This window comes from Homo sapiens, chromosome 16 (assembly GCF_000001405.40).
Source record: "Homo sapiens chromosome 16, GRCh38.p14 Primary Assembly".
NCBI classification, from domain to species: domain Eukaryota; kingdom Metazoa; phylum Chordata; class Mammalia; order Primates; family Hominidae; genus Homo; species Homo sapiens.
In genome coordinates, this window is record NC_000016.10 from 84,318,259 (window position 1) to 84,342,241 (window position 23,983).

At 48.2% G+C, this 23,983-nt stretch overlaps 1 protein-coding gene across 4 annotated transcripts in view, besides 1 other annotated feature; it reads left to right on the forward strand.

The window, feature by feature from the left end:
- WFDC1 (WAP four-disulfide core domain 1) overlaps positions 1-11,586 on the forward strand; it is a 34,967-nt gene extending 23,381 nt beyond the window's left edge. The window contains exons 3-7 of one of the 4 annotated variants that reach the window (NM_021197.4): positions 14-97; positions 1,173-1,313; positions 6,161-6,202; positions 8,624-8,697; positions 11,064-11,586. In NM_021197.4, the coding sequence (NP_067020.2) occupies positions 14-97; positions 1,173-1,313; positions 6,161-6,202; positions 8,624-8,682 (326 nt within the window). In that variant the 3' untranslated portion in view covers positions 8,683-8,697; positions 11,064-11,586. The remainder of the gene's footprint in view (positions 1-13; positions 98-1,172; positions 1,314-6,160; positions 6,203-8,623; positions 8,698-11,063) is intronic. The other 3 variants (NM_001282466.2, NM_001282467.2, XM_047434411.1) reach the window with 3 other exon arrangements.
- Positions 1,207-1,728: an enhancer, noted in NCBI's record as "H3K4me1 hESC enhancer chr16:84353071-84353592 (GRCh37/hg19 assembly coordinates)". NCBI's record gives its function as "activates a minimal SCP1, AML or CMV promoter by ChIP-STARR-seq in naive H9 embryonic stem cells {active_cell/tissue: H9 hESC(naive)}" and the evidence as "EXISTENCE:reporter gene assay evidence [ECO:0000049][PMID:30033119]".
- Positions 11,587-23,983: the final 12,397 nt, after the last annotated feature.

Sequence of the window (23,983 nt, forward strand, 5' to 3'; positions counted from 1 at the left end):
CGTATTGTGTTAGTCTTAGACTGGCTGGTGCAGCCGAAACCTCGATGGCTTGGTGGCAATGGCTGGCTCCTGGATGGCCCTGAGGAGGTGTTACAAGGTACCTGCCGGGTAAAGCCCAGACCCTACATCCAAGCCTCGATCCCTCCTTCTCAGCTGCTTCCAGAAAGCTGGCAGCACCAGGCCGGCTGTCCCCCATGCACGGGCCCTTCAGCCAAACACTCAGCCCTCTTTGATCCTCCCCACCCCAGCGAAGAAGGGCTGATGGCTGGGGGCTTGGCCAGAATCAAAGCCCAGTACAGAATAAGGGCTTCGACTCTCCCCAAGAATGGAGCCTCCTCCTGGATGGAGAATTGAAGGGGAGGGGGCTTAGGGTTGGTTTTCAAATTCCTAGAATTCTAGGGGGTTCACCGCTCTCTAATGATGAAGCCTCCCTGGGGGTGGGGGAGGTACCAGGAGGCAGAGGGCAATTTCTGGAAGGAACAGCATGCAGGTCGGGGGCCTGGAGGCCTAGGAGGTGCGAGCGGGCACCCTTGCACACCTGCGGCTGTGCTTCTGACTCCACGTCCATCTGTGTGTTGTGTGACTGTGTCCGCTAGAGTGTGCGGCCGTATATGCAACTGTGTGGCTGTCCTTGTGCCTGTGGCTGAATATTTGTGTGTGTGTGTGTGTGTGTGTGTGTGTGTGCATGCAAAAGTGTGTGACTGTATTGTGAGTGTACATGTGTGGGTAAGCGTGTGTGTATGTGGGTGTGGATATGTGTGTGCAGGATTTGTGTGTGGGGATGCGTGCGTATATGTCTGTGTGTATTTGTGCGTCTGACTTGCTTGTGTAAATGTCTGTGTCCCCATGCGACTGTAGGGCTGAGTGTGTGTTTCAGGGTGTATCCGTGAACATGTCTATATGGATGTTGCTGAGCCTGTGAGAGTATGTTTGGGATCAGGTGAGCTTGGACTGCCTGTGTTTGTGTGCGTGTTTGTGGGTGTGCACGTGTGCCACATGCCGCTGAGTGAGACCCAGGGCCTAGCCTGGAACCTGGGGTACAGAGGCGAGGCCGCCTCTCTGGGTGAGGTGCGTTCCCTGCACCCGTCCCGGGAGTCTGCCTTCTAGACCCTAGCATGTGCACCTGTCCTGGGAGTCGGCCTTCTAGACCCCAGCGTGTGTCCCTCCTGCAGCAGAGGCGTGCAGCACCACGGAGGATGGGGCCGAACCCCTGCTCTGTCCCTCGGGCTATGAGTGCCACATCCTGAGCCCAGGTGACGTGGCCGAAGGTATCCCCAACCGTGGGCAGTGCGTCAAGCAGCGCCGGCAAGCAGGTGAGTGTGGCACCCCAGCCCTGATCCTGGCTCCTGCCCCAGTCCCCTTCTCCCTGTAAGCGCCTCTCACCCGCATGGACGACCTGCCCCAGGAAGCAGCCCCAGCACCTGGGCCTGACTGAGAGCTCCTCACATCTTCCCCCTGCCCGGCTCCTTCTTTCATGGCCCCTACCCTTTCCCTGTCACACTAGCATGTGACCGAAGCTCTTGAGCCAGCAGACTGGCTGCAAACCCCAGCTCTGCACCTCCCAGCTGGGCGACACTGGGGTTAATTTCTTCCTATCTCTGAGCCTCAGTTTCCTCATCTGTAAAATGGGGCTACTACATGCTGTTGTGGGGCGTGACTGAAATCATAAGTGCAGAGCAGTCGGAGCAGCCCTAAGGAATAGTAGGTGGTCAGTAAGCACTGGATGTTTTATATCCACGTATGTGTAGATGGACCCCGACTTACGATGGTCAACTTAAGATTGTTAGACTTTACGCTGGTGCAGAAGCAACATGCATTCTGTAGAAACTGTACTTCAAGTTCCCATCCAACCATTCTGTTTTTCACTTTCAGTATGGTAATCAAATTACACGACACATTCAATATTTTATTATAAAATAGGCTTTGTGTTAGATGACTTTGCCCAACTCTAGGCTAATGTAAGTGTTCTGAGCACAGTTAAGGTAGGCTCGGCTAAGGTATGGTGTTCAGTAGGTTAACTGTGTTCAGTGCATTTTGACTTAAGATATTCTCAGCTTGTAGGGGGTATATCAGTACATAACTCCATTGTAAGTCAAGAAGCATCTGTATCTGTTTTCAAACTGCATTGAATTAGAATTGTCTGAGAATCCTTAACTTCCAGAACTTCTGCCAGGACTGTTCAGTTTGACTTAATTTGTGTTCGTCTTTGGACACAAAGGCAATAAATAGATGAGTGAATTGTGTTGCTCTCATTGGCATAATTTTCCCAAGAAAAGAAAGAACAATGGCACAGCGATTCCTGGTGGTATCTAAAACCATCTCGAACCCCACTCAAGGCAATCAAGTTGAAAGACTTCAATGTGCTTTTTGGCATGGAGTTTGGATGAACTGTGTGGTGAGCCAGGAATCTGGGACTTCAGGGTGGCCAGGTTCACCTTGTCAAAGTCAGTGTCAGTCAGACTGAGACCACACCCAGGGGCCCCTGTCCCCGCTTCGGCATCTCATAGCCCTAATAGCTAAGGACAGGACCCTCAGACAAGATTGGTGATAATTACAGTGACCCTATTTGCCGAAAGTATACTGGGGAGTGCATGATCTGCCAAAACCTCTTTTTTTTTCTGATTTGAGAATGTTTTTCTCTGAAGTGTTTCAAGAAAGGCATAGACGTAAAATCAGTCATGCATTTAATGTCATTATCATTGCAGATAAAGTGATGCAAATCCCGGAATCCTGAACTTTGAAGAAATTATCTACAAAAGGCTTTGAAACAAAGAGATGCCTTTTTGGTTTCCTCTACATTCCACTTGCTATTTGCAGGGCTTTGTTTGGGGTTATAGGGTGGCTTCTCCAGCCAGATAGCCTGGGCTGCCACAGCTACTCAGCCCCTTACTGCTGTGGGCAGCAAATAACATAACCTTTTCAGGCCTCATTTGCCTTTTCTGTAAAATGGGTTCATAATACTTGAGGTACTTCACAGGGCTCTTTGAGGAGTGAGTTAATCTGTGTAGAGTGTCCATCAATTCACAAGCACAGTAAACAACCTTCACTGTTTTATCACTGCTTGTCTCTAGACACTCAATCCTGCCGTGGGTGGGTGGGGTGTATGGTCCTTTGGAGGTAAAACCGCAAGGGCCTGCCAGCCACTGTGAGGCTGCTGGAGTGTGGAAGGGATAGCCTTTTCCAAAAGAGAGCTGTGGGGCGAGTTGTGAGTTCGTTGGGCTATGCCACCATTTATAATAATGACGGCATAATAGGAATGCCTTGGGCACTTGTCTTTTTCATCCCCTGATCTTTTCATTCAGCCCTATGATGTCTAAGACCAAGGTCAAACCAAGTCAAACTAGTTCTTAAGGGTTCAAACCAGTTAAAAAAATTCCCATTTCAAGACAGAGCTAAGCAAAGAGGGTCAGTCATTCAGTGGTGACCACACCAGTGATGCCTACTGTTAACATGCACCTTTGGAGTGCTCTCTTTAAATTAAGCTTTGCTGCAAGCCTGCAAAAGGAGAAGTAGAACCAGGAGGCAGTGCTGCATAGGTTTCAGAGTGCAGGCTCAGAACCACAGAAAGAAGTCCAAAGCCTGTAACTTTCTTCCTCCGTGGCCTTGAGCAGGTCACCCAACCTCTCTTAGCCTCAGTTCCTTGATCTGTAAAATAGAGATGGCGATGGTAACCATAGTGACTACTTCATGGGGTAGTTATGGGGCTTGAGTGAGAGAAACACGTATGAAGTGCTTAGAATAGCACCTGGCCCACTGTAGGTCCTCAGTGAATGTGTGCCACCATCATCCCTGTCTTCGTAAAGGGAGGATATGAGTTCAGGAATTTACCCAAAAGATGCAGAGCTGGAAGAGCTGGAATTCCAAGACTGTCCACCAGCCTCAGAGCCTGTGTGTGTGTGTGCGTGTGTGTGTGTGTGTGTGTGTGTGTGTGTGAGCTTCCCCTCCCAAATGAACGATTTGAGGCTTCCAAATGGAACTGTAAGTGGAATTCCCCCTAGCCTTGTTCTCAGGGGGCTGACACTTAGCAATAATTACTGGTAATTTACTGGTAATTATATATAGGTTTGAAAACATTTTGAATTCCAGCAACTTCCCTTGGAGCAAAAATCTCAGGGGAAGGGTGGCCCCCTTGTCCCAGCCTTACCAAGGAAGAAGCTTTTTATTTAAGTTTTTAAAAACTGCATATTTGAAATAATTTCAGACTTATAAAAATGTTGCAAAAGTAGTACCTTGAATCCCCCACCCAGATTCACCAGTTGTTAAAAAACTACCGTTACATTTTCCTTTATGCTCTCTCCCCACTTATAAATCTACGTGTGTATTTTTCTGGACCATTTGAGAGTAAGCGACAGGCCCTGTGCCGACACCTAAGATGCCATCCTCCCGTAAGAGAGGCTTCTAGCGGGTACCAATAGTCCTTCAAGTTTGACCATCCAGCACCTGGAACCAGGCATTTGAGGGGTTCACATTTTATGCAAGAGGAAAATGAACACTGACATGTATAGTAAATCTGGTTTTTCAGAGAGTGGGTTCAGGGAAAATCGGTGCATTTTTCTGAGTAGGTTTGAGGTCACACAGAAGCTGAGCTGCGGGGGCTGGCCCCTCCTTGTCCTGCCCAAGACACTGCTTGAGAAGAATGAAGTGGGGCTTGTCTAGCCTTGAGTGGGAGGCAATTTGAGAAAAGTGACGAGTAATCATTTTTGGTAATAAATTATAAGTGATTATATTTGGCCTGAGGAGGGGGTCCGGGGTCCACATTTACCTCTGTCTCCTTGTGGTGTTATGGGCCAGAATTCACCCCCAGGTAAAGGGGGAGCAGGAAAGTTTTGGGGAGCTCCCCCAGCCTACAAAAACCTTAGCCATTTGCTTTGGAAAATAGTTATTGCTGCAGTTGCTGATCAGCAGGCGCTGACCCACCGGAGGGCCTGGAGCGGTTCCATGGAGCGTTAGCACCTTGACCGATAAATGTCCGTGCTGGTCCCAAACAGCCTGATGATTTTTAGTATGGCCACAAAACAAAAGAAAAAGAAAATGTCTGGCTACCGCGCATATGTGCTTGATTAACCTTATAGCAGAAAAGGCAGCGCTGATCACCAGGATGGAGAAGTGAGCTAAATTTGAGAGAGATTGCCACATTCAAGCATCCACATGTCCTGGTCACATTCCTGTCAGCAAATGCTTTCCTGCTACCATGGGGTGGGTAGCACGGCTAGTCATGGGACATGCATGAAATTGCCAGCAGTTGACCACTTTTTACACACAAAGATAGAATTTTCATACGGCTCATCCTAATACTGCATAGATATGTTTTAAATGAAATTGTTTCTTTTAATCCTCACAATAACTTTAAGAGGTACTAATTTTATGCCTATTTTTAGGAGAGGAAACTGAGGCTCAAAGAGGACGAGTGAGGATTCATACTCAAGTTACTTTGTCATTTGCAGTAATGACATCAGAGTGTCTCTTGGGCAGACTCAAAAGAGTGTCATCTCTTCCCCCTGTGAACATATTTTGTAATGACATTTACTCAACAGTGTGTTGAAATTTGGCTTCCAGTTCATCTGTTAAGACAATGGTTTTGGCCGGGCATGGCGGCTCACGCCTGTAATCCCAGCACTTTGGCAGGCTGAGGTGGGTGAATCACCTGAGGTCAGGAGTTCGAGGCCAGCCTGACCAACATGGCGATACCCCATCTCTACTCAAAATACAAAATTGACTGGGTGTGGTGGCGCATGCCTGTAATCCCAGCTACTCGGGAGGCTGAGGCAGGAGAATCACTTGAACCCAGGAGGCAGAGGTTACAGTGAGCTGAGATCATGCCACTGCACTCCAGCCTGGGCAACAGAGTGAGACTTCGTCTAAAAGAAAAAAAAAAAAGACAGTGGTTCTGAAACTTTTTGCTCTCAAGACCGCTGTACCCTGAAAGATGTTAAGGAGATCTCACAGGGCTTTCCTTTATGGGTTGATGGCTCTGGATATTATCATATTAGAAACTAGAGCTGAGACATTACAAATGCTCATGTAGCCTCTGAACAATTCCATTGTACACTAGTGAGATGGGGAGACTGAAAAACACAAGTAATTCCTCAGTGTTATTATGACAACAGTTTTGGCCTTCTAAACTCCTAAAAGAAGTTTTTTCCTCTCACTTGTTTTCCAGATGGGCGAATCCTACGACACAAACTTTACAAAGAATATCCAGGTAAAAGAAGAAACTGTTCTTTCTTTCCAGAGGGCACAAAAAAAAGGCAGTGAAAGTTTCTTATGTGAAGAAAAAAATAAAAGCCCAGGGCTGAGATATAGGGAACAAAATGGGACCTGGGATTAAGAAACAAAATAGAAGACCTGTGGTCTGATGGTGGGCAGGGAGTTGTGAGTCACAGAGGAGCTCATGGCAAACATGACCTCATGCTGAAGAGCAGAGCCTGGAACTGCTCATATTTAAGCCTCTGCTACTTTCATTCAGAGAATTGGAAAACACGCCTGATACCACTCTTCCATTCATCCATCTAATCATCCATTGATCCATCCATCTCTCCATCTATTATTTCATCCATCCATTCATCCCTCCATCCATCTACCCACCCATCCATCTACCCACCATCCATCCATCCATCCACCGATTCATCCATCCATCCTCTCATTCATCCATTCATATATCCATCTATTCTTTCATTCATCTTCCTGTTTTTTCATCCATTCATTCCTCTATCAATCTATTCATCCATCTATTCATTCTTCCATCCATCCACCCATTCATCCATCCATCCACATATTCATCTATCTTTTCACCCACCCATCTATCCTTTTATCCACCCCTTTATTCCTTCATCCCTCCATCCATCCATCCTTTCATTTACTTACCTATTCACCAATCATCCATTCATCTATCCATCCATCCATTCATACATACATCCTTTCACTTATCCATCTATCCACCCATCTACCTTTTTTTTTTTTTTGAGATGGAGTCTCACTCTGTTGCCTAGGCTGGGGTGCACTGGAGTAATCTTGGCTCACTGCAAACTCTGCCTCCTGGGTTCAAGCAGTTCTCCTGCGTCAGCCTCCCAAATAGCTGGGATTACAGGTGTCCGCCACCATACCTGGATAATTTTTGTATTTTTAGTAGAGACGAGGTTTCACCTTGTTGGCCAGGCTGGTCTTAAACTCCTGACCTCAGGTGATCTGCCCGCCTCGGCCTCCCAAAGTGCTAGATTTACAGGCATGAGCCACTGTGCCTGGCCCCATCCACCCATCTGTCTATCCATTTATCCATCCATCCACTCATCCATCCACCCACCCATCTATGCATCCACCCACCATCCATCCACCCACCCATTCATCTATCCATTCACTCATTCATCCATTCATATATTCATCTAATCTTTCATCCATCCATTTTTTCAAGCATGCATCCATCCATCCATTCCTCCATCGATCTATTCATCCATCTGTTCATTCTTCCATCTATCCATCTATATATTCATCTATCTTTTCATCTACCCATCTATTATTTTATCCACCCTTCTATTCCTTTATCCCTCCATCCAACCATCCTTATATCCACTCATCTATTTGCCCGTACATCCATTCACCCAACCATCCATCCATCTGCCCATTCATCCATTCATGCACATATCCTTGCATTCATTCATCTATCTCTTCTTTCATCCATTCATACATCCATCCATCCACCCATCCACCCATCTACCCATCCATCCATTCACCTATGTATCCATTCATCCATCCACCCATATATCCATCTATCTATTCAGCCATCCAGCCAGCCACTATCCATCCATCTATCCATCCATCCATATATCCATCCGTCCATCCACCCACCCATCTATCCATCCATCCATCCATCCATCCATTCATCTACCCATCTATCCATCTATCCACCCACCCATATATCCATGCATCCATCCATCCATCATTTATCCATTCACCCATTCACCCATCCATCCATCCATCATTTATCCATTCACCCATCCATCCATCCATTCTCCCATCCATCTGATATGTCTTTATCAATAATTTACAGCACATATTTTCTAAGTATTACTCATCAGTCTGTGCTGGGGGTTGGAGCTACATTTGTGAACATGACAGACCCAGTCGCTGCTGTCATGCAGCTAATATCAAGCAGAAAATTCAGACATGAATATAGCCCAAGTGGTTATTTTATGAGAATAGTGACAAGCCTTCCTGACATCACATGCTGGATACTATGAGGACACCTTAGTCCAGGTTGTGAGAAAAGGCTTCCTAAGGAGGAGACATGAAAGCTCAGCCTAAAGAATAAGAAATAGTGGGCAGCAGAATGGCATGTGTGAAGCTCTTGAGGTCGGAAGCAATTTGGCCATCCCCAAAGCTGGAGTGTGTGGTGAGCTGTGGAGGTGGTGGGAGGTAAGACCAGAAACATAGACAGAGCTGGTGACACCAGCTGGGGGGCCTGGGGAGGGAGAGGAGGCACTGCAGGTGGGGACTGAGTGACCTCAGCTGGGGGAGGGAGGAGAGGGCCAGGTCACCAGGCTTCATTTGGCAGTTCCTGGTGAGCCACGGGGGGCATTAGAGCAGGAATAGATACATCTACCCCAACAGAGCTGTGTTCTTTTCACAGAAGGTGACTCAAAGAATGTGGCAGAACCTGGAAGGGGACAACAGAAGCACTTTCAGTAAAGCAACGGCAAGCAGGTGAGTGGGCAGAGAGCAAGAGTCATGGCCAGGGTAAATGTGGGCAGCCAGTGTCCTGGCAGCTTTCACCACCAGGTTGAGGAGCAGGAGGGTGAGAGTAGCGCTTTCCCTACTGGTAGAATTTGAAATTCCCTTCTGCAGTAAGTCCTCACCTAACGTCATCAATAGGTTCTTGGAAACTGACTTTAAATGCAACGACATACTATATGCACTGTATGCCATAGAAGCTTAACTCATTTGTTTGTTTTTTTAAGAGATGGGGTCTCACTCTGTCACCCAGGCTGGAGTGCACTGGCACAATCATTGTTCACTGCAGCCTCAGACTCCTAGGCTCAAGCCATCCTCCTGCCTCAGCTTTAGTCTCAGTAGCTGGGACTACAGACATACACCACCTCACCTGGCTAATTTTTTTTTTGTATTTTTTGTAGAGATGAGTTCTCACTATGTTACTCAGGCTGGTCTTGAACTCCTGGCCTCAAGCAGTCCTCCCACTTTGGCCTCCCAAAGTGCTGGGATTGCAGGCATGAGTCACTGTGCCTGGCCTTAACTCTTGTTTATATCCATTAGCCTATGGTAAAATTGTTTTTGTTATATAGTAGGTCATTTTGCTTAAAGTTGCAGTTTCCAATAAGCTATCCATGATGTTAAATGAGGACCTACTGCAATTTCAAGGCAGGAACGTAGGAGAACTTTGTGTGTGATCAGAAGCAGAAGCAATTCTGTATCCCTCTGAATCAAAAATCCAAGACCAGACTAGGTCGCAACTTTCCTTTTCATTCCTTTGCCTTGATGTCTCCAGGAAGTCTTGTCTATCTCTTCTCATTTCTGTCAAACAATTCTGTTGGGTGCCAACTATCTGATAGTCATGGTTCCAGCCTCTTGGTTGCTCAGCGGTAGTTCATGCCAGGGTGGTATAGTGAACAAATCCCACAGAGCCGCTGCCCTCAGGGAGGCCACATCCTGGTAGGGGACGGCTACACAAGCCAACAGATCAATCAATACAAAGACAGGTGTGGTGAAGAAGTGAACAGGCAATGTGGGGCAGAGTCCCTGGGCAGGAGCAGAGCCTGGGGCAGGGGCTGCTTCGTTTGGGGTCAGGGAAGGCCCTGTGGGGGTTGAAGTCTGAGCCAAGATCCAAGGTGAGAAGGTGCTGCTTGGGGAGGGTCTGGAGGATAGGCGCCCAGGTGGAGGGAGTTGGAAGAGTGAAAGTACTGAGGCAGGAGGGACGCTGGCTTTGGGGAGCCAAAGAAGGCCCCTGGGGTAGACGCAGGAAGGTGGCAGGGAGGCTGACTCCAGAGGAGGCCGCAGGTGAGGCACAGGCTTGCCCTCACGTGCCCTCAAAGGTGAGGCGTAGGTGCATGCAAAGGGCTGTGGAGTTGCAGCCCTAAACCTGAAAATCTACCCAGCCCCTGTGAATGCTGGATAGCCACAGAGGGCAAAAAGGAGCCCCTAAAAGCAGGTGACAGCCTCCCAGGACGTCGCTGAAACGCAAATGTCAGATTGCAGGTTCCAGAATCCTCCCGGAAAATCTGGAGCCCGTAGGGACTGATGCCAGCACGTCTGTTACCTGCTGATGACAGGAGCCGTCCCTGGAGTAGGTCAGATGCAGCTGAGGACTGAGCTTCTAACAGGGAAGAAGGAGGCCAGTGGATGAGGACGAGACCTTGGGAGGCAGTTGAGGATGGCAGTTTGGAAGTTGAGGCTTTTGGGTGGGCGCAGCAGCTCCCGCCTGTAATCTCAACATTTTGGGAGACCGAAGCAGGCATATGGTATAATCCCAGGAGTTCAAGCCCAGCCTGGCCTGGCCAACATGGTGAAACCCTATCTCTACAAAAAAAAATACAAAACTACCCAGGCATGGTGGTGTGCACCTGTGGTCCCAGCTACTTGGGAGGCTGTGGTGGGAGGATCACCTGAGCCTAGGGAGGTTAAGGCTGCAGTGAGCCATGTTTGCACCATTGCACTCCAGCCTGGGTGACAGAGTGAGACCCTGTTTCAAGAAAAAAAAAAAGTACAGCCTTTGGAGCAAGCTAGGTCTGGGTTTAAATTCTTGTTCCAGCACTGTGGATTTAGTAAATAATTTCGGCTCTCCAAGCCTCAGCCTCCTCATCTATAAAATGGAACTGATGGTAGGGGAGGAGTTAGGAACTAAATAAGATGATGCCGTGAAGACGTCACAGTGAGTTCAGAATTGGGTCTTCTCAGAAAGGGGCATCTTCCTGGTGTTTCTGATGGTGGCGGTGGCGGCGGGGAGACGAAAGATTTGTGACTCTGTGGTCTGCCCTGCAGTGGTTCACCCTGACCCTTCTTTGTCTCTGGTCTGCCCTGCAGCGGTTCACCCTGATCCTTCTTTGCTTGCTTTCCAGCTAGGTTGCAAGAACATTCCTCTACTTTCTGCTAAGCCTTGGAAACAGTTGGGAAAAGTAGTTTGACCCTCACAGTTCACATTCAGCTCAGCAGAGCAAGACCCCAGAGATGCTTAGAGACAGGACACCTGGCCATCAAACCCAGTTTGGCCCAGCCTGGTTGGGTGACTTTGTGGGAGCCACTTAACAGCTCTGGGTCCCTGTTTTACCATCCTGGGAGCAAGGCCCTGCAGCTCCACGAGACCTTTACCCCGGGAAGAAGCCGCCACCCATGAAAGCATTTCTGAAGCCCCTTTCTAAGACAAGGCTCAGCATCTTGATATTTTTGACAGATTCCTCCCAAGTCTGGCTCTGGGAGGTATGTACCCATCTCAAATGTTCCCAAGATAAATTCATCCTTCAGGAAATGGAAATGAACTTGCTTACTAATGTGTGATTCCTAGTTGTAGCCACCGGATGTGCTGAGGCCTAAATGTTAGCAGGTGGGAGGAGGCCACAGAACAATAAAAACAACCAAATAAGATGCCGAGTCTCTGGTGTTTTGTGATACTTTGTCACTGTTTAATTCAGGGGTGGGAAGCAGCGTGGGTATTGCTGGGATGAGGTGTCAGCTAGGCTCTGCTCCTGGAACCCTGTGTTAGCATAGAGCCCCTGAAGCAGACCTTGGGAGGGGGATTTGTTGAAAGTGATTCATTAGGGCGGTTCCTGGGAAAAACTGGCATGAGAGTGGGGAAGCGGAACAGGAGGAGACAGTCAGACGAGGGAGAGGTGACGAGGGCCCATGGAGGGCACCTTTGCTGCAATCCCTCTGGGGGTCTTGGAGGAAGCCTGAGTCCCACCAGGGCTGGCTCCAGGGCTGTGCATCCAGAAGGACCCTATGCTTGGTTTAATGATCTGCTGTCACCATTTAAAAACTCTTAGTCATTGTTGAACAAGGGGCCTGCTTGTTCATTTTGCAAATGATGTCGGTAGCCCTGAGCCACACTGTGGAGTCGGTCCCACTGGGGCTGGACAGCGGAACCCGAGTATGCGTAACGCTTCCAGCACCCATCAGTGGGTGGCGAGGCTGCCCCTCCCCCTAAGAGAGGAGGCAGCCCACCTGCTGCCAGGGAGGGAGAGGCACAAAGGCACCCAAGGGGACATCGGCAGAGCCCCTGGGGCACCCCGGGGCTCTCCCATTAAATCATGGGTGCCCCACCTGTGCTAGACGGCTTGCTCGCACTGTCCTGGGGTTGGCTGAAGTCCCCAGGGCTCATCAGAGCTGAGGACAGAGGCCCTAAGGGACTGTGCACCCCCAGCTAGCCACATACAGTGGAAGCAAATAATTACAAGCAGCAGAGACTCCAGGGGGCCTGGCAACGTCTGTGCATCTCTCAGATGAGGAAACTGTGGATCTTGGAGATCTGAAAGGACCCACCCAAAGCTGTGAAGTCAGTAAGAGCCAAAACCAGGATTCCGAGCAGGCAGTCCCACCCCACACTCAGGCTCCAGACAGCCTGCTCTTCTGCTAGCCTGGCCTGTCGGAGCTGACTCCCTCCCGCCACTGAGGTGTAGAAGGGACGCCTGACAGTGTGCCATCCTGCGGAGGACTCTGGAGTGGAAGGGACTGGGCTGAGCTCATCCCTACTCCCTGGAGGGCTGCTCACTAGATGGGGTGGAGACACTAGAGCCTGTTCAGCCTGAGTTCCAATCCTGGGCAAGGCACTTGCCCTCTCAGAGCCTCAGTCTCCTCTTCTCTGAACTGGGTGTAATAAAAGTAGCTGGCTTTCAGAGTTCCTGTAGGTATTGCGTGAGATGCTACATAGTAAGTGCTGAGCACACAGGGATGGTTATAATTATTATCATTAGCCGGGCACAATGCACACTAATTCTCTTAATACAAAACCTCGTGAAAAGAGTATGAACATCCGCATTTTCCAGCTGTAGAAATTCAGCCTCAGAGAAGTTAAGCAAGTTGCCTAGGCTCAAAAAGAAAGCAAATGACAGAGATGGGCTTTGAGCCCAGAGCTTCTGATGCCCAAGACTAGACAGGCTGGTCCTACCTTGTGTTGAGTCCCAACCACCAGCTGGGCGGCCCTCACAGGTTACTGAACATGCCCCAGCCTCAGGGTCCACATTTCTAAAGTGTCAACGAGAACTCCAACCTCATTATGATTATTACTGTGAACTCAGTCACGATCATATGAATGGGACTGGACTGTCAAGATGCAAATACCAAGGCAGGAAGGTGGTCGTATACTGCCAAGTGGTCAAAAATAAGACCTGCTTTCTGCTTTCAAGGAGCCCAAGTCCTTGAGGGAGTGAGAGAAATGAGAGAGTTATGATCCAGGGTGGGGAAGGCACAGATGGGAGCAGGGGCCGGAGGTGCCAAGAGAGCCCAGTGAGGGATGCTAAGCCAAGGCAGAAGGCAGGGAAGGCAGTAATCAGGGAAGACATCCTGGAGGTGGTGATGTGCTAGTTGGTCATAATATCTGAACACTTCTGGGAACGTGTGCATTTCAAGGGGAACTGCTGTCCCTGTTTGGCTTAAGGCAGAGGTTCTCAACCTTGGCACTATTGGTGTTTTGCGCAGGATCATTCTTTGTGGTGGGGGCTGTCCTGTGCAGTGTAGGATGTTGAGCAGCACCCCAGCGTCTACCCACTAGATGCCAGAAGCACCCTCCCCCAAGCTGGGACCACCAAAAATGTGACTTTGCCAAAGTCCCGTGGGGTACAGTTACCCGGTGAGAACTTCTGGTTTAAGCCCAAAATAAGGAAGCTCGACTTTGTATCATTTCACCCGTCAGCAAGTTCTCCCGGGGCACTTTCCCTTAGGCTCACGGTAATTAACTTTTCCACTCACTCATCACTTGTTCATGCACTGACTCATGCACTCATTCTCTCAAGTAATATTCCCAGGCACTAACCACCTTTTCTTTAATCAAATCTGAGGCACCATTTTTTTTTTCACCTTTTGACATTCCTGAAGTTAGGGCTTGTCTTATGGCCAGTGTCCTCCAGGCCCAGACACGAGGGAGGCATCATTGCCTGTACATGTGAATATCAAAACATGTAGGTTGGGTGTCAGCAGCTTGGTGGAAACTTCCAGAAACAACAGAGGAACCAAAAATTCTGCATCACCAATGCTCTCAGAAAGAAGTCCTATGAAATACCTTATCTCATTTATTGCACTTATATTTTTATGTGATACACACATAAGAATGACGCATCATGAGGCCGGGCGCGGTGGCGCAAACCTGTAATCCCAGCACTGTGGGAGGCCGAGATGGGCAGATCATTTGAGGCCAAGAGTTCGAGACCAGCTTGGCCAACATGGCGAAACCTTATCTCTGTTAAAAATACAACAATTAGCCAGCTGTGCTGGCGCACGCCTATAATCCCAGCTACTGGGGAGGCTGAGGCACAACCAGGGAGACAGAGGTTGCAGTGAGCTGAGATTGTGCCACTGCACTCCAGCCTGGAGGACAGAGCAAGACTCTGCCTCAAAAAAAAAAAAAAAAAAAAAAAAAAAAAAAAACGCATGATGAAAACTTATGTCTATGTAAGTCTAAGAAAGGCCTTTAATGACCTTGAAATCAAAAGGGAAAGAGCAAGATGGCCAAATAAAAGCCCACTCCATTCATCTCCCCTGCAGGAACACCAAATTTTAGCAACTAACTACACACAGAAAGCCTCATGACAAGAACAAAAAATCAGGTAAGCAATCACAGTTCCTGGTTTTCACTTCGTGTTGCAGAAAGGGGCATGGAAGAGGCTAGGAAAGACAGTCTTGAATCGCCGGTGCCACCCCTCCTTCATCCCGCAGCAGCAGCCACGAGGCATGGGGAAATCTATGCACTTGGGAGAGGAAGACTGCAGCCACTGGGGGGCTTCACATTGAACTCAGTGTTGCCCTGTCACAGCAGAGAGCAAAGCCGTGGTGGCTTCAGCCAGCGCCCATGCACAGAGGGAGCATTTGGACCAACCCTAGCCAGAGGGGAATTGCCCATCCCAGTGGTCGGAACTTGAGTCTCAGCAAGCCCTGCCACCGTGGACTAAAGTGCTCTGAGGTACTAGGTAAACTTGAAAAGCTGTCTAGGACACAAGGACTGTAATTCCTATGCAACTCCTGGTACTGGGCTGGGCTTAGAGCCAGAGGACCTGTGGGGCACATGACCTAGAGGGACACCAGGCTTCAAGGCTAAGGAAGTGCTTGAACCACCCCTCCTCCAACTCCAGGCAGCACAGTTGGCAGCAATGAAAGTGACTCCTTCCTTCTGCTCAGGGAGAGGAGAGTTAAGAAAAGAGGCCTTTTTACGTTGCATCTTGGAGTCCAGCTCAGCCACAGTTGGAGAGGGCACTGGGCAGAGTCATGAGGCCCCCATTTCAGGCCCTAGCTCGTGGGTGACATTTCTAGGTATACCCTGGGCTAGAAGGGAACCCACTGCCTTGAAGAGAAGGACCTAGTCCTGGCAGGATTCATCACCTGCTCACTAAAGAGCTCTCAGATCCTGAATAACCAACAGTGATCCCCAGGTAATATGCTGTGGGCCTTGGGCCCTGAGAGGTGCTGGTGTCAGGTGTGACCAGTACATTCCCAGCTGTGGTGGCTATAGGGAGAGACCCCTTCTGTTTGAGAAAAGTGGAAGGAAAAGTAACGGGGACTTTGTCTTGCACATTAGGTACCAGTTTGGCCACGGTGGGATAGAGCACCAAGCAGGCCCTTAGGGTCTCTGAGTCCAGGCCTAGGCTCTTGGACAGCATTTCTGGACCTGCCCTGGGCCAGAGGGGAGCCCAGTGCCCTGAAGGGTGAGTCCCAGGCCTGGCAGCATTCATTACAAGCTGACGGAAGAGCCCTTGGGCTTTAAGTGAACACCAGCAATGGCCTGGCAGAACCCCCGACCATGGGCCAGTGGTGACAGTGGCCACAGGGAGAGGCTCCTTTGCCTGTGGAAAGGGGAGGAAAGAGCAGGAAGGACTTTGTCCTGTGGTTTGAGTGCCAGCTTAGCCAGAGCAGAATAGAACACCAGGTAAACGTTTAAGACTGTAATTCCTGGCTCTGAGGCAGCATCTCTGGGCCTATCCAGGGCCTGAGGGAACTCATTGCCCTGAAGGGAGAGACACAAACCTTGCTGGCTTCACCACCTGCTGATCATAGAGCCCTAGGGCCTTGAGTGAACATAGGTGGTAGCCAGGTAGTGGTTACAGTGGGCCTTGGGCAAGACCCAGTGCTGTACTGCCTTCAGGTCTGAACCAGTGCAGTCCCAGTGGTGGTGGCTGCAGGGATGCTTATGTCCCCCAGTCCCAGTTCCAGGTGGCTCAGCACAGATACAGAGACTCCATTTGTTTGGGAGAAAGAAAGATAAAAGAATAAGAATTGCTGCTGGTAATCCAGATAATTCTTCCAGTTCTTATCTAAGACCACCAAGGCTGTACTTCTATGAGTCTGCAAGAACCACAGTGTTACTGAGTTTGTGGCCCTAAGTCCCTTCAAACACCTGGAAAGTCTTCCCGAGAAGGACAGGCAGCCCAGGCCCAGTGGCTCACACTTGTAATCCTAGCACTTTGGGAGGCCAAGGCAGGCAGATTGCTTGAGCCCAGGAGTTCGAGCCTTGGCAACATGGCAAAACCCTGCCTCTACAAAACATACAAAAAGTAGTAGGGTGTGGTGGCATGCACCTGTAGTCCCACCTACTTGGGAGGCTGAGGCAGGAGGATGGCTTGATCCCCGAGGTCAAGCCTGCAGTGAGCTGTGATCACACCGCTGTACTCCAGACTGGGCAACAGAGTGAGACCCTGTCTGGAAAAAAAAAAAAATATGAAGAGGAAGAAGGACAGGTACAAACAAGCCCAGACTGTGAAGACTGTAATAAATACCTAATTCTCCAATGCCCAGACACCAACAAACATCTACAAGAATCAACACCAACAAGGAAAATATGACCTCACCAAATGAACCATAATAAGGCATGAGGGACTAATTCTGACACCTCACCATAAATAAGGCACGAGGGATCAATTCTGGATAAACAGAGGTACGTGATCTCTTTCAGACGGAGAATTCAAGATAGCTGTGTTGAGGAAGCTCAAAGAAATTCAAGATAACGCAGATAAGGAATTCAGAATTCTATCAGATAAATTTAACAAAGGGATTGAAATTATTAAAAAGAATCAAGCAAAAATTCTAGAGTTGAAAAATGCAATTGACATAGTGAAGAATGCATCAGAGTCTCTTAATAACAGAATTGATCGAGCAGAAGAAAGAATTAGTGAGCTTAAAGACAGACTATTTGAAAATACACAGTCAGAGGACAGAAGAAGAAATAATAAAAAAGAATGAAGCATGGCCTACAGGATCTAGATAATAGTCGCAAAAGGGCAAATCTAAGAGTTATTGGCCTTAAAGAGGAGGTAAGTGCCTACATCAAAAAAGAATAAAAACTTCAAATAAATAACATAACAATGCATCTTAAAGAACTAGAAAAGCAAGAGCAAACCAAACCCAAAGTTAGGAGAAGAAAAGAAATCATAAAAGCCAGAGCAGAAATAAATGAATTTGAAATGAAGAAAACAATACAAAAGATCAACAAAGCAAAAAGTTCATTTTTTGAAAAGACAGATAAAATTGACAAGCCTTTACCCAGACTAAGAAAAAAAAAAAATAGAAGACCAAAATAAACAAAATGAGAGATTTAAAAGGAGGCATTCAACTGATACTGCAGAAATTCAAAGAATCATCAGTGGCTACTATGAGCAACTGTATGCCAACCAATTGGAAAATCTAGAGGAAATGGATAAATTCCTACACATATAGAACCTAGCAAGATTGAACCGTGAGTTGGGTGCAGTGGCTGATGCCTGTAATCCCAGCACTTTGGGAAGCCAAGACAGGTGGATAACCTGAGGTCAAGAGTTCAAGACCAGCCTGGGCAACATCTTGAAACCCTAGCTCTACTAAAAATACCAAAATTAGCCAGGCATGGAAGCATGTGACTGTAATCCCAGCTACTCTGGAGGCTGAGGCACAATAATCGCTTGAACCGGGAGGTGGAGGTTGTAGTGAGCCGGGATCACGCCATTGCACTCCAGCCTGGGCAACAGAACAAGACTCTGTTTAAAAAAAAAAAACAAAGATTGAGCCATGAAAAAAATCCAAAACCTGGCTGGGTGCGGTGGCTAATGCCTGTAATCCCAGCACTTTGGGAGGCCAAGGCTGACAGATCACTTGAGGTCAGGAGTTTGAGACCAGCCTGGCTGACATGGTAAAACCCTGTCTTTACTAAAAATACAAAAATTAGGCTGGGCACGGTGGCTCACACCTATAATTCCAGCACTCTGGGAGGCCGAGGCAGGCAGATCATCTGAGGTCAGGAGTTCAAAACCAGCCTGGCCAATATGGTGAAACCCTGTCTCTACAAAAATACAAAAATTAGCTGGGCATGAGGGCAGGTGCCTATAATCCCAGCTACTCGGGAGGCTGAGACATGAGAATTGCTTGAACTGGGAGGTGGAGGTTGCAATGAGCTGAGATCACGCCATTGCACTCCAGCCTGGGCTACAGAGCAAGACTCTGTCTCAAATAATAACAATAATAATACAAAAATTAGCTGGGCACAGTGGTGCACATCTGTAATTCCAGCTACTCAGTAGACTGAGGCATGAGAATTGCTTGAACCCGGGAGGTGGAGGTTGCAGTGAGTCAAGATTGTACCACTTTACTCCAGCCTGGGTGATGGAGTGAGACTCTGTCCCAAAGAAAAAAAAAAGAAAGAAATCCAAAACCTGAACAGACCAATAACAAGTAACAGGATTGAAGTCATAACAAAACGTCTCCCAGTTAGGAAAAGTGCAGGACCTGATGGCTTCACTGCTGAATTCTACCAAACTTTTAAAGAAGAACTAATTCCAATCCTGCTCAAACCATTGTGAAAAATAGAGAAGGGACTACTTCCAAACTCATTCTACAAGGCTAGTATTACCTTGATATCAAAACCAGACAAAGACACATTAAAAAAAACTATAGGCCAATATCTCTGATAAATATTGATGCAAAAATCCTCAACAAAATACTAGGAAATTGAACAGCATATTAAAAAGATCATTCATCATGACCAAGTGGGTTTTATCCCAGGGATGCAAGGATGGTTCAACATCCTCAAATCAATTAATGTGATACATCATATCAACAGAATGAAGGACAAAAACCATATGATCATTTCCATTGATGCTGAAAAAACATTTGATAAAACACAACATCTTTTCATAATAAAAACCCTCAAAAAACTGGATATAGAAGAAACATATCTCAACATAATAAAAGCCATGCATGACAGACCCATAGCTAGTGTCACTAAATGGGGAAAAACTGAAAGCCGTTCCTCAAAGATATGGAACATGATGAAGAGGCCCACTTTCACCACTGCTATTCAACACAGTTCTGAAAGTTCCGGCTACAGCAGTCAGACGAGAGAGAAAAAGGGCATCCAAACTAGAAAGAAAGAAGTCAAATTATACGTTTTTGCAGACGATATGATCTTATATTTGGAAAAACCTAAAGACTCCACCAAAAAACTATTGGAACTGATAAATAAATTCAGTAAAGTTTCAGGATACAAAATCAACATTCAAAAATCAGTAGTTTTTTTCTTTTTTTTGAGACGGAGTCTCGCTGTGTCGCCAGGCTGGAGTGCGGTGGCATGATCTGGGCTCACTGCAACCTCCGCCTCCAGGTTCAAGCAATTCTCCTGCCTCAGCCTCCTGAGTAACTGGGACTACAAGCACACGCTGCCACACCCGGCTAATATATATATATATTTTTTGTATTTTAGTAGAGACAGTGTTTCACCATGTTGCCCAGACTGGTCGCGAACTCCTGAACTCAGGCAATCCGCCTGCCTCGGCCTCCCAAAGTGCTAGGAGTAGAGGCGTGAGCCACGGTGCCTGGCCTAAAATCCATAGTATTTCTATACACCAAAATGAACAATCTGAAAAAGAAATCAGGAAAGTAATCCCGCTTACAATAGCTAAAATTAAATACCTAGGAATAGGCCAGGCGCAGTGGCTCACACCTCTAATCCCAGCACTTTGGGAGGCCGGGGTGGGTGGATCATGAGGTCAGGAGTTCAAGACCAGCCTAGCCAACATGGTGAAACGCTGTCTCTACTAAAAATACAAAAATTAGCCGGACGTGGTGGTGCATGCCTGTAATCCCAGCTACTCAGGAGGCTGAGGCAGAAGAATTGCTTGAACCTGGGAGGCAGAGGTTGCAGTAAGCTGAGATCGCGCCACTGCACTCCAGCCTGGGGGACAGAGCGAGACTCCATCTCAAAAACAAACAAACAAACAAACAAAAAAAACCTAGGAATTAACCAAAGAAGTGAAAGAGCTCGGCAATGAAAACTTTAAATCACTGATGCAAGAAATGGAAATGGACCCACCAAAAAGAGAAAGATATTCCACGTTCGTGGATTGGAAGAGTCAATGTTAAAATGTCCAAAGTATCCAAAGCAATCTACAGATTTATGCAATCCCTATCAAAATACCGATGACATTCTTCATAGAAATAAAAAAAAATCCTAAAATTATATGGAACCACAAAAGACCTAGAATAGCCAAAGCTATCCTGAGCAAAAAGAAAAAAACTGGAAGAATCACTTTACCTGACTTCATATCATACTACAGAGCCATAGTAACCAAAACAACGTGGTACTAGCATAAAAATAGACACATAGACCAATGGAACAGAATAGAGAACCCGGAAACAAATCCATACCCCTACAGTGAACTCATTTTGTTTCCACATGTACCCACAAAAAGTTTAAATTAAAAAAATTAACTCTAATATTTTTTAAGGTGAAAGCATTATAATATCAGACTGGTTAGTTGTGCTTTTTCTTTTAATTGTGTATAAAGTTGCACATGAGTTGTGGTGTCTGCTGCCTGTCGCTGTTCCAGCCTGGAACAGCCTAGAAACCGCCCCTGCTGCCTATAGTCTAGTGGGACACAGTACATGGAGAAGCAGGGATTTGAACCATGGCCTGCTGATTCCCAGGGGCTCTCCCCTTCATCATGCTGCCCCTGGGATGGCTAAAGAGCCTCCCTTCCCTCCTCCCTGGCCTTTCCTGCTTCCTCCCTGCACGGGAGGAGAGACACAGATGGATCAGTGATCGCAGGCAGATGGTGTGTGCCTGGCCCGTCTGGTCTGGGAAGCAGCTGTATGTTTTTGGCTTTGAACCTAGTACAGTTTCCCCTTGAGATCCTCCCTTGGACCTGACTGTTTTGGAGACAGATGACAGTGTCTCTCTCCTGAGCTGAAATCTGAGCAGACACCCGGCTGCCTCAGGTTGTTGGAGTGCTCTGGACTGGAGCTGAGTTCCATGGTGGCCCTACTGGTCCTTAGCTGCGTATCCCTGGACAAAGAGCTTAGCCACCCTGATCCTCAGTTTCCACTGCTTTGAAACGGGGGGTAACATCTGCCGTGCCTTCCATAGGACCAGATGAGATGAGGGTGTGAAAACGGTCAGGAAACTTACAAGGCTGGGAGGCAAAGAAACACAGAAGGGTCACTGAAGACCCCAGCCAGGGACTCAAAGGCGCTGAGAGGCTGGATGACCACTGCACTTTGGTGACGATGACAGAAACCCAGCGGGAACCAGTCGGGGCAGATGGGGCCACGTGATGAGCCGTGTGAAGGAGTGGCGAGGGGCTGTGGCCCTGGGCTGATGGGGTTCAAGACTTGGCTCTGAAAGAAGAACAAATTTGTTCCCTTTTATTGCCATTAATTGTCAAAGTCAAATTGTATTTTATACTAAGGTCATTTGGCTGGATTTTTTTCTTTAAAGAATTTTTTTAAAAAAACTTCTTGCTTTGAAATTCTGATAAATTTACAAGACATGCAAAGAAATATACAGGGAGGTCCTGGTCCCTCCACCCCTCCTCCCCCATGGTAACATCTCACACGGTTACGACATGACATCAAAACCGGGAAGGTGACGCTGGCAATCTCCATGGAGCATACTCATCTGTGTCCCACTCTGCACGGGTGTGTGTGTGCGTGCGTGTGTGTGTGTCTTTGCACGTGTGTGTAGCTCTGTGATCTTGCTGCATGAGCAACCATCACCATCAAAAGATCCTGACTGCACTGTCACCTCCTCCTCACTAGGTGGTTTTATTACCCACGTGTGGATGGAATATGAGGAAGACGGGAGTATGTGGCAATCTCCCCACGGCCTCACAGCTGGAAACTGGCGGGGCAGGTTGTTGGGACATCAGAGCCCCACCTCCCGTTCTCCCACTCTTCCAGGAACAGAAGGAGGCCAGCCCCACTTCTCTGAACCCCTGTCTGGAGTTTTCTCTCTTGCAGCACAAGTTCTCCTGTATTGAGGAAGCAATTTCTCAGTTGCGGCCACCTCTCTAACCACCTGGGGACGGTTCCACAGCCACAGGGAGCAGGGGTGGCCAGAGGCTGAGAGGACTCTGTCCCTCCTGACAGCAAACAGGGTCTCAAAGCATGGCTGCGGGATGGGCCCCTGGGTGCTTTGGGTCCCCACTGCAAGACGGGGCACCGGGACGCTGGAAACTAGTGGGCAAGCCTGTGGGCCCCTCCAGGCCTGCTGGAGACAAAGCACCTCCCGCCATCCAAGGACCCTGAAAGCAGCTTTTTCCGTAAGGGCAAACTTAACTAAATCATCCCTTTGGGCCGGGCATGATGGCTCATGCCTATAATCCCAGCACTTTGGGAGAATGAGGTGGGAGGATTGCTTGAGCCCAGGAGTTCAAGGCCAGCCTGGGCAACAAAGTGAGACTCTGTCTCTTAAAAAAAAGAAAAAAAAATCAGGCATGGTGGTGCACAACTTCAGGTCCCAGCACAGGAGGCTGAGGTGAGAGGATCGCTTGAGCCCAGGAGGTCGAGGCTGCAGTGAGCCATGATTGTGCCACTGCACTCCAGCCTGGATGCCAAAGCAAGACCCTGTCTCAGAAAAATAATAATAATAATAATAATAATAATCCCTTTGGACTTTGGTTATTCGGATGTGGCCACATTCCCTCCCAGGTTGCTTTCCATCTGAGTTGCCAGTATAAGCTCGCACCCTGAGCCTTTTTTCTAGAACATTCTCACAGATATCAGTAAGTTGGTCCAAAGAGAAGGCAGGTGGGTTCATTTCAGGTGACTGTCTTTCAGGACAAACCTGATCTTACAGCCCCCACAGAGGTTCTTCCCGTGCAGACACCTGGAGTAGGAGCCTGAGTGAAAAGGAGCCCAGCCCCCAAAACATCCTTCCTGCAGGCCCCTGTGAGCTGCCTGAAGTTCCACCATTACAGAACCATCTTTTGTTGACAGCTGCGAGGCCTGTTAGACTGTGGACTTCTCTGGGAGAGGCTGCTGTAATCTAAGCCGTTAGGGAATCCCGCCCTTCAGTTTACGTTCTGGAGTGAAGCCACACAGGTGCGTCGCTGATCATGGCCACCGAGGTAAGAGGTAGGAGAGGGTCATACTGGGATCTGGGCCTCCAGTCGAGATGAGGAGTCAGGGCGGCCTTCCCAGAGGAGGCAACGTTTGAGCAAAGTTTCTGAGTATGAGTTTCTGTGGCTGCTGTTAACAAATGCCCACACACCAAGTGGTTTGAAACAACAGTCATGCATTCACACTGTTCTGGAGGCCAGAAAGCCAAAACCAAGGTGTTGACACGGCTGGGTCATTCCGGAGGCTCTAAGGGAGAATCCAACCCGTGCCTCTCTCCGGGCTTCGAGGGAGAATCTGCCCGGCGCCTCTCTCCCGGCTTCCGATGGCAGCCGGCCACTTCAGTACTCCCGGCCTTGAGGATGTGCCTCTCCCATCTCTGCAGCGTCTTCCCGTGGCCTTTGCCTCTGTCTCCGTGTCCCAGATTTCCCTCTGATTTCTCTTTGAAGGACACCTGTCATTGGATTTAGGGCCCTCTTAA